General features: G+C 46.6%; 1 protein-coding gene across 4 annotated transcripts in view; it reads left to right on the forward strand.

Moving 5' to 3' along the window:
* The window catches only part of DPYSL5 (dihydropyrimidinase like 5), a 102357-nt gene that overhangs the window by 66568 nt on the left and 16943 nt on the right, over positions 1–18846 (forward strand). For all 4 annotated transcript variants that reach the window (NM_001253724.2, NM_001253723.2, NM_020134.4 and 1 more), the window contains exons 3-7: positions 10325–10483; positions 12691–12870; positions 13693–13761; positions 17078–17122; positions 18696–18771. In NM_001253724.2, coding sequence (NP_001240653.1) covers positions 10325–10483; positions 12691–12870; positions 13693–13761; positions 17078–17122; positions 18696–18771 — 529 coding nt within the window. The remainder of the gene's footprint in view (positions 1–10324; positions 10484–12690; positions 12871–13692; positions 13762–17077; positions 17123–18695; positions 18772–18846) is intronic.

Genomic DNA, 18846 nt, shown 5'->3' on the forward strand with positions numbered 1-18846 from the left:
ACAGCTTACCAATCAGGCCTGTTCTTTATTGATGAGGCTGAAGGGAGGAGGGGAAGCAGGGATTTCACACAGAATCACAGACCTTTCTCTCACTTCTCAGCAGTGGCTGCTGGCAGTGTGGGGTGCACCTGGGATCTGTCCACCTGTTAAGCAGGAGCCAGGGCAGGCTGAAATCAGGGCTTCCTGAACAGATGTGTTCTTTGTCCCTGGGACAAGAAAGGTCCCTGGGCTACTCACCTACGGGGAGCAGGAACTCAGGACTCCCAGGGAGGGCCTGCATCTTAACCTCTAAGGGGAGCTCACCTCTTCTTGAAGCCAGTGAGCCCAGGAAGTTTCTGTGCCTTGGTAAGAGGCTTTGCTTGGCTTCCATAACCCCATACCCCCGGGCTTCCTCCTACTTCTTTGCAATTCCTTCCCAGTCTCCTTCCTGGTCTTGTCTTAATCTTGATGCTCTCCTATGCTGTGGCCTCTCAGGGTCCTATTCCAGAGTGTCTCTTCCTCTTACCCACCCTCTCCTCCTGTGTAATCTGTTACTGATGACTCCCATTTACAGCTGCAGCCCAGCCACCTCTGTGCACCTCCCTACTGGACATTGTGCCTTGGATGCCCCAAAGCCTAACCTAACACGCTCCGTGTCCTCCATACAACCCCACTCCTCTTCCAGGGATACCTCCTGCAGGGAATGGTACCCCATCCACCCAAGCCAGGCCTACTTACTAAAGACCAGGGGACTCCTCAGGGACACAGCCAGAAACCAAATCCAGGTCTGTCAGGCTCCAGAGTTCAGGCTTCTCCCACCATTGCCCTGCCTCCATGGACCATCGGAGAATTGAACTGCATTTCTAACAAACCGAGTAATGCAAATGTCGCTCTGAGCTCCAAACCAAACTCAGCATGCCCTGGGACCCCTTCCCATTCTGTGGCTGTGCTGGACTTCTGCCTGGACCCCTTTGTCGGCCATCCCTGACCCCTGGGCTCCCAGCCCCTCAGCTCTTCCAGAGTGCTTTCTGTGCCCCAGCTCCTGGTTCAGAGTGGGCCCATTACAACAGCATGGTAACTTCAGCCAAGCCCTGTTACTGCCTCTCTGGTTGACTCTGCGGTGCATTTTCCAAATGGTTTTCCTAAGCCTCACCTTGGCTCAGACCAACACTCCTGATTTCCCCCAAAACCTTCCATCTGGGATTTTGGTTTTATTTCCTGTTCTGCTAAGAAGTCTGGGACAAAGGACCTGTGCTTCCTCAGCTCTCCTCTCAGTCTCCTCTGATCACCTCCATCTTTAGCCACCCCTCTCCTGAATGAATGGGAAGAAGGTCCCTCCAGCCTAATAGATGAGAATATGAGCCCTCAGTTTCCTCATCTGAACAATGAGGATAATAATGGCCCCTATTTGGGGGAGAATTAAACTGGGCACAGGAAGTGTTTGATGATGTTAATTATTAGCAATTTTCATCAACACTTGAATGTCTCTTAATCAGCTCTATCTCCATGTGTCTAAAAATTCCCTTCCCCCTAAATTTGATTTTCTCTCTCCTGATGCCATTTTTTCAGTCACCCAAGCATAAAACCTCCCCCGTTATTTATTTTCACCTCCTCGTCTGTCATCAAAGCTTGCTGCTTCTTCCAAGAAACATGAATCACATATGTCTCTTCCAACCCAGGCTCCAGTCAGGTCCATCATCCCAACACTGCCCTTGAGCTTGTACACTACAGCCAGAGTAATGTTGCAAAGTCCAGTGTTCATGTTCTTCCTCTGCCCAGAGCCTGCTTGTGGCTGCACGTGGCTTACAGCAGAGATCAAGTGCATCCCAGCTCCCCCGACAGCCTCCCATCCTGGGCCAGACATGTCCAGGGATGGCAGTGTGGCCTGACTCCTCTCTGCAAATGTGCTCCTAAACTTCACACTCCCTAAACTCCCTCACTACCACCACCTCCACCCACACAAGTTGACAAACTTTGCCGATGTGATGGAATCAGATTAATCAAAGTCCCCACAGTTTGGTCCTAATCAGACCTGCCTCAGCCCGAACCTCAGCCTGTTCTCTGTCTTCCAACTGTGCCCCCGACTTTGCTACACCATTTCCTACCTTGGAGCATCCTGGCCTGGTCAAGTCATGCCTATCCACCACTCACAGCCTTCCTATCCTAACATGACCTTTCCTTCCACTGGGCTGCTTTTGCACTTGCTGCTCTCCATCCGCATCGAGGAATACTATCTCTTGCTGCCTTGTAGTCTCATAGTATTTTGAAGTCATTTCTGTTAAAACTGAACTTTTCTCCTTTCCTGTTTCCCAGCTGGACTCTAAGCTCCTTAAGATGCTTACATTTCTTCTTCTGGAGCATCTGATACACATAATAGAGGGCACATAGTCTGCGCATTAGTGCTACCTACAAATTATGCTTCTTGTTCCTCATGAATATTTACTGGGCTCCTACTATGTGCAGGCACTGGGCTAGGTGCCTTATATGCTGTATGTCATTTAATTCTCATAGTAACTCCATGAGGGAGGTATTACTATCTCCGTTTTACAAATGGAGAAACGGAGCTCAAGGAGATTAAGTAACTTGCTGAAGATCTTACAACTAATAAGTGACGGAGCTGGAATTTAAACGTAGATCTGCCTGCCTGAATGTCTGATTCTTGTCAGGATACTATAGTGAGAGCAAAGTAAGGTCAGGAAGTGGGACCATGCCCTGGATGATGTGGTAAAGGCTGTAGACCCAGAAGGTAGGAGTGGAAAGTAAAAGGAAGTTTAGGAGTGCAATCAATTAAAAATGTGCTATTTAGGGAAAAACCTGTCAGCTTCAGGATGAGCTCAACAGGCTGCAAATTATCAGTCAAGATAAGGCCTGAGGGCTGTTTGTAGCCAGAGGGACAGAGAGTGGGGCCTCGGAGAACAAATCATGCATCTCTCGGATGCCCTGGAAGAGGCTGTTTTCTTAAGAAGTATTTGACAGAAGGTGCTGGGGTTGGGTGTGGGGTTGGGGGGTGGTGCAAAGAGGATGGAGTGGGGGTCAGCATGCAAGCTGCCTGGAAGGGGATCATCAGAGAAAGGGCCAAGTGGTCAGGTGTCCTCAGCAACCCCCCACCCATGTGAATTAGCTGAGTTGACAATGAAGCCCAGTGTAAGGCCTGATCCCCCTACATCAGGCCAGCGCAGGTGATAAGCTGATGGCTGGACTGGCCACATAATTTGCAGGGCCTAGTGCAAAAGGAAAATATGAGACTCCTTGTTTAAAAATTATTAAGAATTTCCAGATGGTGACAGCAGAACATTAAAACAAGCACGGAATGGCCAGGCTCAGTGACTCACGCCTGTAATCCCAGCACTTTGAAAGGCCGAGGCAGACAGATCACCTGAGGTCAGGAGTTCGAGACCAGCCTGGCCAACATGGTGAAATCCCGTCTTTACTAAAAATACAAAAAATAAGCCAGGCATGATGGCACACGCCTGTAGTTCCAGCTACTTGGGAGGCTGGGGCACGAGAATCTCTTGAACCTGGGAGGCGGAGGTTTCAGTAGCTGAGATCATGCCACTGCACTCCAGCCTGGGTGACAGAGCAAGAGTCTGTCTCAAAAAAAAAAAAAAAAAAAAAAAAAAAGCAAGTGCAGAGCCCTTCTAAATGTAGGGCCTTGTGCAGCTGCATGGGCGACATGCCCATGGAGCTGGGTGGGCCTGGACAGTGGGCTTGTGATTTGAATGGGAAAGGTGTTTCCTGCGTGCCAGGCATGGTTCCAGGTACCATACATGCATCACCTCACTTGATGAAATGCTTGGACCCTTTTTGGGGGTTGTTCACATCCCATGGTGATGTTCAGAGCTTGCTTTCCAGAGGGCCAATAAGTAGCCAACAGAACGCTGAAGGTGAAGGAGGTTACCATGAGCAATAGAGAAACTACCGAGCTGGTTATTTTTTTTTTTTCCTCTGGTACTTCGGGAGGATGTGAATAAAAGATGGAAGATAATTTTAATGTGAAAAGAAAAGGAAGTGGTTCAGCAATCCCAAGAGAGGCAGATCCATCCGAACAAATGATAGCTTTTCCAGCAGCATTAAGAGCTGCAGACATGTTTGCACTGTGCTTACCAGTTTACAGAGCACATCCACTCGTCATTTGATTCTTAGTGCAGTATTGTTCCCTCTATAAAGATTCAGTTGGCCTTAATCTATATACATACCAGTAATAGTAGATCCTGCTTTTCTGATTCCAGTCACCTCCTCAAACATACACCCCTTTTCCATGCATATTTTCGTATGAAGATATGCTCTAGGAAGTCTCTCCCCTTCCTCAATGAAAAATTCCATGAATTGGCTGTAGCCCAAGTGCCTTCTCAATAGCAGAGCGCAAAGTTTGTGCCTTGACCAGGTTCTTGGCCTTGAAGCAAGAGAACCAAATCTTGTGGGCAGGGTTGCTGGGGAGCAATTGCTACAGGAAATTCAGCAAAACATATTGGAGCGGCAGGGCAGTCCTGTAGAAGATGGTAAGAGAGTGAATCTTCAAAGGTCTTTGTCCTGATAAAGCTGGAAGTGACCAACGCATTGTTCTCTCCAATGCCGTGATGTCAGCAAATAAATCTTATCTGAAGGGCCACAAGTATCTGAAATGTCTTTCCAACTTGCTGAGCAGGACCCTGGTCAATATGGAGACCCCCATGAGCCCCACGGTGGTCTGATGAACTTCTGAAGTATAAAGATGGTGTTTATAAAAGGTTTAGACTGAGTTCTAGTACAGGTTCCTGCGCCTTGCCAAGTGTATGCCTGGAAACTGTGTCATAAAATGGATTACCATTAAATATACTGAGTTTTCTTAGGGAACAAATGAGCATCAAATAAATCCAGCTTTACCCAGTAGTATGTTATAAATGTCAAAAACAAAATAATAGCGACACTTTGAAATTGTAAAATGATGTTTCATATTCTTCCAAATAATATACAATGGTGCAGTGTCTGTTGGTTAAACAAATGATCCTAATGTCTCTGTTAATTTAATAGTGAGAGATGTCAGGATAAAAACAAATTTCCACCTATACAATGGGAAATGCTTGGCTGGACAGATTTTTTTAAACATTTATATTTTTAAAAATAAGGGCTTGGGTTGATAAATGGGCACTTTTGGTCAGCCACCAGGCTCAAGGAGGCTGTTGTGAGATCGGCTGTTCCATGATCAGGTCTGGAATAGTTGGAGATGAGGATGTTCTACAAAGCTGCAATTCTGCTTCCTGGCAGTGTCCACCTAGAATGAGGTCTCTGCTCATATGCGTTCAAGAATGCTCAAGCACTGTGTGAAGTTGTAAATGTCCATGAACTTGGAAATGCATTCATACATGGAGGCATGTTTATACAATGAATCAATTAAAAGGAATGAAATAAATCTACATAAATAAATCTTAAAGATAATATTGAGTACATGAAAGCAAGTTGCAAAAGAATATAGACAGTATGATAGATATTATTTGTATAATTTTTTTAATTGTATAAATTTTGTATAAATTTTTAAATGTTATGTGTTTACATAGTAAAAGCATAAAAACATAGATGAGAGGAATGTATGCCATCTTCAGGGAAGAGAGGGATGGGAATAGGATGGAGGGCTTTAGTTGTATCAGAAATATTTCATTTCTTTTTTTTTAAAAAAAAGCATCTGAGGTAAACATGGCAAAAATGTTAACATCTGTTAAGTTTGAGTAGTGGAAATATGGGTATATGTTTTATTATTTTCTGTATTTTACTCTGTTTGAAATATTTCATAACTTTAAAATATTTTAAACACATTAAGAATGGCTAAAATTTTAAATACTGCAGTTTTAACTTCCTCCAAATTTATTCTGAAGTGTACATTATAAAACTCATATATTCTGTTAAATTTTGGAGAAGTAGAAAAAATAAATTCCTCAGAATCTCATCACTCAAAAATAACCATTGTTGGCCAGGCGTGGTGGCTCACGTCGATAACCGCAGCATTTTGGGAGACTGAGGCATGCAGATCACTTGAGGTCAAGAGGTCAAGACCAGTCTGGCCAACATGGTGAAACACCATCTGTACTGAAAATACAAAATTAACCGGGCATTATGGCAGGTGCCTGTAATCTCAGCTACTCAGGAGGCTGAGGCAGGAGAATCACTTGAACTCGGGAGGCGGAGGTTGCAGTGAGCCAAGATTGCACCACTGCACTCCAGCCTGGGCCACAGAGCAAGACTGTGTCTCAAACAAACAAACCATTGTTAATATTTTGGTCTATTTCCTTGCATTTTTATTTCTTGTGTGGGGAGTATGTGTGTTTAAACATGGTTCCAAGCATTTTGAATCAAGTCTTTTTCACTCATTACAGTATAAAACTTTTTCCGTGTTTTGACAGCCTTCGTGAACATCATTTTTTTAAATATAAAGTTTCACATTTAATTTGGTCATGAATTCATAAATACATAAGTATTTTGTACACCATGTGCTTCCTTGTATTGTTTGTATTATAACACATTTTAAATAGGGACCTTTGACAGGGCAGAAGCATGAAAGGACACCAACCACGAGCAACACACTATACTATGGCTGTCCTGTGTCACATGCTATTTGGCCCGGGGATATAGCAAAACCTAACGTAACTAAACAAAAAAAACCCCAATTATTTCATGTTGTCAGGAAGCTTACCTTAAAAGAATAGCTCGGCCTGGCGTGGTGGCTCACGCCTGTAATCCCAGCACTTTGGGAGGTCGAGGTGGATCACCTGAGGTCAGGAGTTCGAGACCAGCCTGACCAACATGGTGAAACCCCGTCTCTAGTGAACATCATTTTTATTGGCTTCCATTAAAGATCTTCTGCAGCGTACTTAACCAACACCATTTTTTGTGTAAAAAGTCATGAGCATTCAGCAATCACATGTTCTTAAACATCATCCTTTTGAAAGCCTCGGGAACACAATTGGGCTGTGCCTTGCTGCCGATTTCTACAAGGCTGTTTTGTGGGGGATGACACTAAAAAGGTCTGTCACATCTGTGATACCACTTTCCTGTGAAAACAGAGCTTGTCAGCATTCATCCTGTGGGTTGGAATGGTACATATTCAAAAAGCCAACTCTATGTATGTCTTGCCTAAGAGGAAACAAGTGCTTGAACATCAGTGTGTGGTGTGGGCTTGCGAGCCTGCAGCTGGGGGAGAGTTTGCTGATCCAGTGAAACTCTTGTTTCGAGGCCTTGGGGTAACAGCGGTAATAATTATTCCAGATACTTATGTGCATGCCCCTCCCAGCTCATAGATGCTCTCACATCCATTGCCACCTGACCCTCTGGGGACCCCTGAGAAGTAAGGTGCAGGTCAGGGGGCACGTGGCTGCTCCTAGATTACAACCAACACGTGGGAAAGTCAAGACCACCTCCTATGCTTCCAACTCCTTCCTGAACTATTTTCAGTTCCTGTCCTTAGACCCAGGCAAAAGGGGCCTCTTCCCAGGGCTCTGGACTTTAGGGTCCTCTTCGGGCCCTCCAACAACTTGTACCCCTGCCCCATAGGTCTGGGGATTGTGTCTACCCAGACCCCACTCACCCATTCCTAAACTACACTCTGGGTCCCTAGAATTCCCTGAGAAACAGCCCTGAGCATTCCAGAGCCTACAAAACCCCGAATCTCTCCTCCTGGGGGACAGACCACCAATGTGTGCATACCAGGCTCAAGGACAGCATTTTTGCAGAAGGTGGACAGAGCTTAGGTCTGCAGGCTGCAGGATCAATTCAGGATAGGCGCGTGTGGGCTGGGGGCAGGCACAGAGGCTGAGGCCAACTATCCCTGAAGTGTAGCTCAGAATTTTAAGGAACTTGAGGATTCTAAGGGCCAGGCCCTTTTGGCCTTTATGAAGATGTATTTGACAGAGTAGGAGGATAGAGTATATTCTGTGTAATGGTTTTTTAGCTTGATCTAACTTTTGAGTGTTTAGAGAATCAGCACATGATCCTCCTTTTCTCCTCTTGCCCTGGGACCCACAGTATGAGGACTGGTCCTGGCTCTTTTATCTCACTGTGCTGTTTCCAGGTTCCTCTTTTCCTATCCAAGCCTGCAGAGGTACTGTGGGAGTGCAAAGGAAAGCAATCTAGAGCCACAGAAAAATGAAACAATTTAGTGTGTAAAGCTCAATATACACCCCCACGTGCACATGTAAAAGCAAGAGATGCATTTCAGGACAAAATAGAGTACAACCACCTGCTGTGAGGATGAATCAGCCTGGCACGATCCAGCAAAATCGGAAATAGAAGCCTGCTAGTAAAGCTACAATCTGCACTGCTCTCCTTCTCCCGGTTCCTCTGCCGCCCCCATCACAGCTCCTGCAGGTGCCACAGAACTACCACCCTCTGTTGGTTGCTTTAAGCTGTGCAAGCAGTCAAACCACTGAGTTCCCCAGGACGACTGGGAACATTCTCGCTGGCCCAGCCTGCGTCATGGAACATCAAGGTTGTGAGAGTTTTCATTTTAATTGCTGTTGGGCCACTGAGCTAATTTTTTTTCAGTCCCTTATTCCCCAGCAATATTTTTCATTTGTGATCAAGGATTTAACTGAATAGAGAAGCATGAAACCATTAAGACAATTTCATGGAGCTCTTTTTCTCCCCTACAGAAAACAGATAAACACCTAAATTCTGGCTGGGTGCAGTGGTTCATGCCTGCAGTCCCAGCACTTTGCGAGGCCAAGGTGGGAGGATCACTTGAGCCCAGGAGTTTGAGGCTGCAGTGTGCTATGATTGCACCACTGTACTCCAGCCTGGGCAACAGAGTGAGACCCAGTCTCAAACAAAAACAAAAACCTAAGTTCTGAGTAACTAAACACACATGTTAGGACAACACTTTTACCACATCTGTTCCATAAGCAATGTTTTACTTAACCTTCACAACTACCCAACAAGGAAGCCACCCTATTGTGTAGGTAAAGACTTTGCATCCAGAGAAGTTAAGTAACCTGGCAGAGGTTATTCCAACCATGAGGGAGCAGAGCAGGGACTTGAACGTGGAGCCGTGAAGCACTGTAAGGACTCAAACCATTTCTCACCAGAAAAAGAGTCACTTTGTCTTAGAGCCCTCACAAAGACTCTCATGTTATGGGACTCTCAATTATTTAATTTAATTAATTTATTTATTTTGAGACAGTTTCACCCTTGTTGCCCAGGCTGGAGTGCAATGCCGCATTCTTGGCTCACTGCGACCTCCACCTCCCAGGTTCAAGCAATTCTCCTGCCTCAGCCTCCCAAGTAGTTGTGATTACAGGCACCCACCATCACACCCAGCTAATTTCTGTATTTTTGTAGAGACGGGGCTTCACCATGTTGGCCAGGCTCATCTTGAACTCTTGACCTCAAGTGATCCACCCACCTCAGCCTCCCAAAGTACTAGGATTACAGGTGTGAGCCACTGCACCCACTCTCACTTATTTTAATTCTATTTTAAGTTTTGTTTGGGAACAACACATTAGCCTGAAATAGCCTTTGATCGATGCTAGTTTTGGAACTTCACAGAAGTCCCCTGATGAAATTCACTTTTAAAAAGTTGAGTGGGGGAATCTCTAATACAGATTTAGTCATTTTTCCTGGGGGTTCACTCTATGATTGCGAGTGAGGCTTTTTAACAATTTCTTTTTAAAGTGGTATCTTGCGGAGTTGTGAATAGGATCCGTTTTCACTGATAAATCACACATGCATCTAAAAAATGCCTGTCTCAAACAAGATAGATGAAAATGAAGCCCCTATGCTTAGAAAAACTGAAGACAAAGACCCTGAGGTTGAAGATGCGTGCAAAATGTTTGAACAAAATTGCTTCATGAAATTTGAGAGCATAAAACAAAACAATATATCCAAATTAACATTTTCTATATCGTGGTTCAAATATACGTGTGTAACTAAGTAAATGATATAAACAGACATTTGATTATGCCATCAATATTATGTTATTATATGATACAACACTATATTATGTTATATATTACATGCAGACATTTGATCATGTTATCTATAGAGTCAATTGGCTAAAAATCGTTTGGGGAGAGAATCTCCTCATTGGGAAGATAGGCCTTAGGTCGGGTGACCCACGATGTGGTTTTTCCAGCGCGCCAAGCTGAAACCCTGGCGGAGGAAGAAGCAGGTTTGGGGACCCGTGGTCATGATGAAGGTCGCGCTGGCTCTCGCACCTCCACATGGCTCTTTACAGTTTCCCAAACCTCGCTGCCCTTGGTCCTCACAGCCTCTTGTGAGGCAGGGCCTGTCTTTGAATGGACCATGAGGACCATGTCTCACCACATCATTGACTCGGGGGCAGGCAGGGCTGTGACGAGACTGCCTTTTCCCGTCTTCCCAGGCAGCACTCGTCGGAGGCACCACCATGATCATCGGCCACGTCCTGCCCGACAAGGAGACCTCCCTTGTGGACGCTTATGAGAAGTGCCGAGGTCTGGCCGACCCCAAGGTCTGCTGTGATTACGCCCTCCACGTGGGGATCACCTGGTGGGCACCCAAGGTAACAGTGCTGGTGGGATCCCAGAAGAAGGCACAAGTGGTCTTGTAGGCAGAGGGGCTGGTTGGGGTGCAGTGCCTCCTGCTTGTGTGGGGCACCCCTCCCACTACCATCCTAGCTCCCCACAATGCCAAAAGAAAACACACTTGGGATTCCATAAGGGGAGCGGATGGGCTTGTGCTGCTTAACTTAATGAGCCATTTTCCGGCAGGCACAGAGAGGCCAAGGCCAGAGCCCAGGCCTTGGGGATGCAGTTTCATTGCTCTGACCATGAGGCTCTTACCGTCTCGTGTGAATGTAGGGCACCACTGACAGGTCATGGGCAGTGCTGCTGAGAAGAGGCCTGAGCAGGGCTCAGGTGCAGAGGGTCATATCCCATATCCTATGTGTACTGAGAGTCCACCACACTGCGCTGAGGTCTCCGAACTGAGGCTCCCATCCTGCCTCAGTACTGTCTGGAATGAAAGGAATGTGGTATGCTTTTTTCCTACTGGGGGCCCAGCTTCTGCTCTGAGAAGCATCGAGGCTGTCCTGGTCTGTGACTGAGGCTGGCACCCCCTGAGCCTTTCTCAGTTCAGCCTCTGTGCCTCCTTTGTGTCTGTGCCCCTGGCCTCTGGCTTTCCTGTCCTCCCCCTGCCCAGGCCCCAGGGTCAGAGTCCAGACTCCTCTCCCCGGATTCCCACTTCCTTGCTCTTCCTAATCTACAGGCATTTCGATTTGGCTTTGTTTCTGGGGTTTTTCTGCTTTTTTGCCCAGGGTAGCAGTCTGGATATTCATTCTTTCATCAATTATTTATTAAGCCCCATGTACCAGTACTTTGGTGGGTGCCCCAGAATCATAAAAATAATAAGCATTATTAGTTTTACCAACTCAGGAACTGCCTCTTCATTTTCCGTCAAAAACCCACTTGTAACTGCTGCTAATCAGAGTGTATATTCAGGGCAGCTTGAATCTGTGCTCCCAGGTGGACATCCTCAAGCTTTGAGCTCGAATAAACTCTGTTCTTAATCATAAAAAGAAAAAAGAAGTTTTATGAAGTTCTTCAGTTGCAGGCCCTGGTATAAAGGGCCTAACACCCTTCTCAGATGATAACCTAAAGCCTCACTATATTTCTGCCCTCGGGTCTTAGCCTTGAGCTGGGGGCTCACCCGGTTTCTTCATTATTTCTGACCTGGCACTTATAGAAGACCTCCTCCCGGTTCTGGGCCAGAGGTGCAGATCACGCTGAATGTCAGCCATTCCTTATCTCAAATGGGGGTCTCCTTTTTGGACACTCTCCTGGGTGAGAGGCCTCTACCTCTGAGCCACTCTCTACTTCCCCTGGAGCTGGCCTAGAATAGAGGGTCTTCTCAGGTTCCCAGCAGCACAGAAGCCAGGCCAACCCTCCCTAATTTCCTGGAGCTTATGGTGACTTTCATGCATCAGGAATTTAAAATTCTGTTTTATAATAATCAAATAAATGTTTCTAATTATAGATGTGAAAAATAGAAAAGAAAGGAAGTACATAATCCAGTAACCCCCAGCACCATCCCTGCTGTTAAACTTCTTTCTTTCCCATCTTTTTTCATCCATGCTTTCACAGAGTAGCTATTTTGCATAGGTGTGAGCATTTTCTATTTTGCCATGAAGTTCATGAACCAGCAATATAATGGCCACTTAATATTCTACCAAGTGGATGAACCTGAACTTATTTTCCTGTTATCAGGCCAATGTTGCTTCCATGTTTTTCCTAGTACAAATAATGTTAGGAATATCCTAACTCTCATAACTTTGTTCATGTTTAGCTTTGTTCCTAAATTTGGTTTTCCCAGGACCTCTGGATTTTTAGCATTAGTATGCCTTCTTTGTAATGCCAGGCAACAGCCCACAGAAATTAAAATCATTATTCCTATGTTTACCATTAAGGCTGGTTTGGAGACAGACATAGGGGACAGGCCTAAGTGATAGGAGAAACGTGCCTATAAGGTAACAATGTGGCTCCTAAACTGTGTCGTGTTGACAATTTTCACAGTACTTCCGCATCCATCTACTCAGGTGGCCTCACAGCAGCCTGTGGGGTGGGAGGAAAGTGAGATAGAGAGGTGTGGGGGGTCAACCGACAGACTGAGCTGGGGCAGGCCCCACATCTCCCCCATGCTGGGCCGGTGCCTGCCAGTCGGCCTCTTGGGTGTCTGCCCTCACGCAGCATTGCCCTTCTACTTGTTCTCCAGGTGAAAGCAGAAATGGAGACACTGGTGAGGGAGAAGGGTGTCAACTCGTTCCAGATGTTCATGACCTACAAGGACCTGTACATGCTTCGAGACAGTGAGCTGTACCAAGTGTTGCACGCTTGCAAGGACATTGGGGCAATCGCCCGCGTCCATGCTGAAAATGGGGAGCTTGTGGCCGAGGCAAGTCTGCAGCCAAGAATATTGGATGGAGGGACACCAGTGGAGACAGTTAGTTCTCAGGGGATTCCTGACCACCCGTCACTGATCCCACAGGATTCAGACAAAATCAGTTGTTAAAGTGTGAGGTGTGGACACCCCAGCTGTCAGATCTTGGTCAGAAAATCCAAACTTTACTACTGTCTGTAAAAAACAAATCTCTTTTTATGGTTCAAAAAGGCTTCTAAGTCGTAGGTGATGATGTCTTAATTCTAATGATATGAGATTTAAATTCCATTATAGCAGAGAATTTGGAGCACCTCTCAGACATATTTTTAATGAGATTTGATATACAGAATAAATAAGAATCCGCTTCCCATTTGGCCTCTTCAGAGGATCTGAGACATTAAAGAGATCTATTCATGGCACCAGGAAGGATAAGCCTCTGGTGCATTCTCCTAGGTCTTGGGGTAAGGGCTAGCCTAGCAGTTGCTGGAAGCTAGAGCTTAGTCTCGATTTCCAGAGAGGGAATTCTGAGTTTGAAATCAGTAAAGAGTGCTTGTCTTTGGTGTCCCAGGCCTGTTGCTAGTTATAATACTTAACTGTATTTTTAAGAGAACAAGATATGTTCAGTCATTATGAAGTGAGAATCAGGAGAGCCCCACTGCATGGGCGGCCTGTGCATGCTCTGCCTTCTTTAGAAGACGAACACTGCAGAAGTGAGAAAAGAAGCAAGCCTATTGAAACAGGCGGTGTCTAGCATATTTCACTGTCCCTTGGGTTCAGTATTTTCTTACACGGTGTCTCTGTGATTCTCTCCATTTTCTTTCTCTTGCTGTTATCCAGGGTGCTAAGGAGGCACTGGATTTGGGGATCACAGGCCCAGAAGGAATCGAGATCAGCCGTCCAGAGGAGGTGAGAAACACTTCCTGTAGCCTTTGTCAGCGTCTCTCATGTAGATTGACAGAATCTTCCAGGATGGAGGAGACATCAAACATACAAATTAGCCAGGCACAAGGGCTCATGTCTGTAATCCCAACATTTGGGAGGCTGAGGTGGGTGGATGGCTTGAACCCAGGAATTTAAGACCAGCCTGGGCAACATGGTGAAACTCCGTCTCTACTAAAAATACAAAAAAAATTAGCTGGGCATAGTGGTGCATGCCTGTAGTCCCAGCTAACTACTTGGGAGGCTGAGGCAGGAGGATCACCTGAGCCCAGGAGGTTGAGGCTGCAGTGAGCCGTGATGATGCCACTGCAATCCAGCCAAGGTGATAGAGTATATATATATATATATACACACACACACATACATATATATACGCACACACACGCACACACATACGTGTGTGCGTGTGTGTGTGTGTGTATAGCATCATTTTCTCCACGGGTGAAATTTCCATTTGATTCTGATTTCAAGGATCTAGGGGAGACAATGTCAGCACACCTGGGGTTGCTGTGCCCAAAACTGAATCAAGAGACAAAAGACAGACTGAAAAGGCCTTCAGGTGTTAGAAGAAATTTCAAACTATAAACTCTGCCTTTGGGGGATGACATTCCTTTGAGCATCTGAGGAATACTTTGGACCAGGGGTCACCAACCCCCAGGTCATGAACCGGTACAGGACCGCAGAGCAGGAGGTGAGCAGCGGGCCAGCTGAGAGCCCCCTGGGCTCCACCTCCTGTCTGATCAGTGGTGGCCTTAGATTCTCATAGAAGTGTGAAGCCTATTGTGAACTGCACATGCGAGGGATCTAGGTTGCACGCTCCTTATGAGAATCTAACTAATGCCTGATGATCTGAGGTGGAACAGTTTCTTTCTTTATTTTATTTTATTTATTTTGAGATGGAGTCTCGCTCTTGTTGCCCAGGCTGTAGTGCAATGGCGCAATCTCGGCTCACTGCAACCTCTGCATCCCGGGTTCAAGCCATTCTCCTGCCTCAGCCTCCCAAGTAGTTGGAATTACAGGCATGCACCGCCACACCCAGCTAATTTTGTATGTTTAGTAGAGACGGGGTTTCACCATGCTGGTCAGGCTGGTTTCGAACTCCTGACCTCAAGTGATCCACCCACCTCAGCCTCCCAAAGTGCTGGGATTACAGGCGTGAGCCACCGTGCCCAGTCCTGAGGTGGAACAGTTTCATCCTGAAACCATCCCTCCCCATTTCCCACCACCACTGCCCCATCCCTGTCCTGGTCTGTGGAAAAATCGTGTTCCACGAAACCGGTCCCTGGTGCCAAAATGGTTGGGGACTGCCGCTTTGGACCCTTTCCACCAAAAACAGGAGACACATACAAGTCTATGCTCCTCCCCCTCATTACCTGCTGAGATGGTCATTCAAAGCTGTTTTCCGCCTGCCCTCTGGCTTTATCCCTGTGCACAGTTTTGCATGGCATTGACACAAATCCCCTACAGTCCCCCTGCTAAAGAATTCTGCTCTAGAGGGACCACATTAGACGAATAACGCATTCCTGCCCTATTACCCTGTTTACACATTCTCTACTGTTTTAGAAGAGGGGGAGAAACTTCTCATTTCTTCAAAGCCTAAAAATGCAGATGGGTGGTTGGTTATCCATGAGGGATTGAGGGGGAGGCCTCGAGGGACAAGGAGCAGGACACAGGATGTGGTGGCACTGCCATTACCCAGAAACCAAGTTGGCCCACGAGTGGGTCCGCTGAGGAGTGCCCCCTCACTGCCCTGATCAGTGCCTGTGTTTCAGAGCCCTTGAATATAGGTCCTGTTTGGCACTTCTGAATTGGTAGAGAAACACACACCAGATTCGACTGAAACACAGAGGGTATGCCTGTGAGAACAGGAGAGAGCAAGGGGTGGACACACACACTAGACTTTCTTTGTTACTTAATACAAGGGAAAGAGCAAGGCTTTGGCTGTGGTCGTAATACCAATAATTATCACCGCCATTATCTATTGGTTAAAGGTGGGAGGGCCCTGGGTCTATGCCAGGGGAGATGTTGCTCCCCAGGGGAAATTTGACAATATCTAGAGATATTTTTGCTTGTCCCAACCTGGGGGGCAGGGCGGATGCTACAGGCATCTAGCGAGCAGAAGCCAGTGATACTGCTAAACATCCCACAATGCGCAGACACCCCCACCATAAAGAATTACGCAACTCGGCTGGGTGCAGTGGCTCACACCTGTAATCCCAGCACTGGGAGGCTGCGGCAGGAGGATTGCTTGAGCCCAGGAGTTTATGACCAGCCTGGGCAATAAAGGGAGACCCCCTCCATCTCTGCAAAAACTTTTTAAAAATTAGCCAAGCATGGGCCGGGCATGGTGGCTCACACCTGTAATCCCAGCACTTTGGGAGGCCAAGGCAGGCAGATCACGAGGTCAGGAGATCGAGACCATCCTGGCTAACATGGTGAAATCCTGTCTCTACTAAAAATACAAAAAATTAGTCGGGCATGGTGGTGGGCGCCTGTAGTCCCAGCTACGCGGGAGGCTGGGGCAGGAGAATGGTGTGAACCCAGGAGGCGGAGCTTGCAGTGAGCCAAGATTGCGCCACTGCACTCCAGCCTGGGCGACAGAGCAAGACTCCGTCTGGGAAAAAAAAAAAAAATTAGCCAAGCATGGTAGCGCATGCCTGTAGTCCCAGCTGCTCAGGAGTCTGAGGTGGGAGGATCGCTTGAGCCCTAGAGGTGGAGGCTGCAGTGGGCCATGATCATGCCACTGCACTCCAGCCTGGGAGACAGAGTGAGACCCTATCTAAAAAAAAAAAAAAAATATATATATATATATATGTGTGTGTGTGTGTGTGTGTGTGTGTGTGTGTGTATATATATATATATATATATATATATGAATTATACAACTCAAATGCCAATAGTACCATGCGCAGAAACCCTAATCTAGGCTAATTTCCGGAGTCAAATCAGCCACTATTTCTCCTTTGCTGCAGTTCTGAGGTGGCTATGGAGAGAATACACCAGAAAACAAGGAGAGACATGACCTTGGGTTTTTATTTACTTTTGTTTCCTTGCCTTTTAATTAAGCCCCAAGTAGCATCCAGCAAGGGCGTGCCTGGTATTGTAAGACCTAGAATTCTCCCTCACTGTGAGCCAAGGTAGTTGGAGGTTAGTGCCTCTGCCCGGGCTTTGCCCCGAGCCAACCCCTATGGGTGCAGTTGCTCCATGAAGGGGAGAGTATGGTGTGGGTATCCTTGGAGGAGATGGTGAAGTTTGGTTTCCTCCTGTCCTTTGTTTCTAACAGCTGGAAGCTGAAGCCACTCATCGTGTTATCACCATTGCAAACAGGGTAAGTCCCCCGATGTCCACTGTGGGATTAGAAACCAACCTTGGCCAGGCACGGTGCTGATGTCTGTAATCCCAGCACTTTGGGAGGCCGAGGTGCGTGGATCACCTGAGGTTAAGAGTTTGAGACCAGCCTGGCCAACATGGTGAAACCCCATTGCTACTAAAAATACAAAAATTAGCTGGGCGTGGTGGCGTGCACCTGTAATCCCAGCTACTCAGGAGGCTGAGGCAGGAGAATTGCTTGAACCCAGGAGGCGGAGGTTGCAGTGAGCCAAGATCGTGCCAACTGCAATCTGTCCTGGGTGACTGAGCGAGACTCTGTCAAAAAAAAAAAAAAAAAAAGAAAGAAAAGAAAAGAAAGAAAGGAAAGAAAGAAAGAAAGAAAGAAAGAAAGAAAGAAAAGAAAAAAGAAAGAGAAAGAAAGAAAAGAAAAAAGAAAGAGAAAGAAAGAAAGAGAAAGAAAGAAAGAAAGAAAGAAAGAAAGAAAGAAAGAAAGAAAGAAAGAAAGAAAGAAAGAAAGAAAGAAAAGAAAGAAAGAAAGAAAGAAAGAAAACCAACCTCTACGATGCAGCCCCATTCTGCTCTGGGTGCCAGCACCATGTCTTGCCCACAGGAACCCAGAGCTGTTTGCTGACTGAGCGCTGTCATGCCCACCATCCTTGCATTCACCCTTCTCACCACCAGCTTTCCATTCCACCCCGCCGAGCCTGCTGAAGCTCAGTTCATTGCTCACGTGTAAACTCAGTCCAGCTCCTAAACTCTACATCCTCCTAATGTGATAAGCAAAGAGAACAGAATAACATCTGGGGAAACAGAATTTCCCAATTGCACTTTAGAGCTCTGGCCGCTGGACAAGGACATTGTTTCACTGTCATGACAATAGTTATTTATCAATTACTTCCTGGTGGAACTTAACCCAGAATAAGGAAAGACCCAAACAACAAAAAGTCAGTTCCTTGCCTTTTAGCTCAAGCATATGCTCAGAGGAGTTAAGCCATGGACCGTGGTTGCACAGCTTAGTAGAGAAAAAGCTAACCAGTATTACAGTCCAGGTGTCCGTTCGCAAGGTCAGCCTTCTCTTGCCTAGACTCTGAACCCTAACCCCCTTGTATTTTGTTCATCTCCAGGGTGCATTCTGTCTACTGATAAGCAGCCTTCAGACAGCAGGCATCGTAATTTTAGATACAGAATACACGACTAACTCTAGGTCATCACGTTTATGAACAGGAAATTAAAATAGGAAAAAGAGTTCCCCCCTTTTAAATTACAGTCATGGTTGTCAGATGGGAGAAAATGCGAGGTTCAGACTTGACGGTCTTGAACTTCACAGGCTGGGCTTCCCGGTGGGCTCTGGTGCTGGAGGCTGTTCTCTGCCTCCCCGTATCATGCAGTTCCTGCAACCTTGCCCTGACTGCCAGCCCTGCATTCTCCGCTTAAGGACTGTCACCTTGAGGGTGGGGTTGAGTGACGCAGGGGGAGGCGCTGGTGCCAGGGCTGACTTTGCCAGGGTTATTCTGATGCTTGTGAAGTTTATGGGTCAACCCTCCCTACTTCCCACTGTTTCTTGTGTTTAGACTCACTGTCCAATCTACCTGGTCAACGTGTCCAGTATCTCGGCTGGTGACGTTATCGCAGCTGCTAAGATGCAAGGTGAGTCCATAGACTTGGCTGGACAGAGCAGGTCAAGTGGAGGGACTGGAGATGGATGGGGCCCATTAGCCGTGC

The sequence above is a fragment of the Homo sapiens genome, chromosome 2, assembly GCF_000001405.40.
Source record: "Homo sapiens chromosome 2, GRCh38.p14 Primary Assembly".
Classification (NCBI taxonomy): domain Eukaryota; kingdom Metazoa; phylum Chordata; class Mammalia; order Primates; family Hominidae; genus Homo; species Homo sapiens.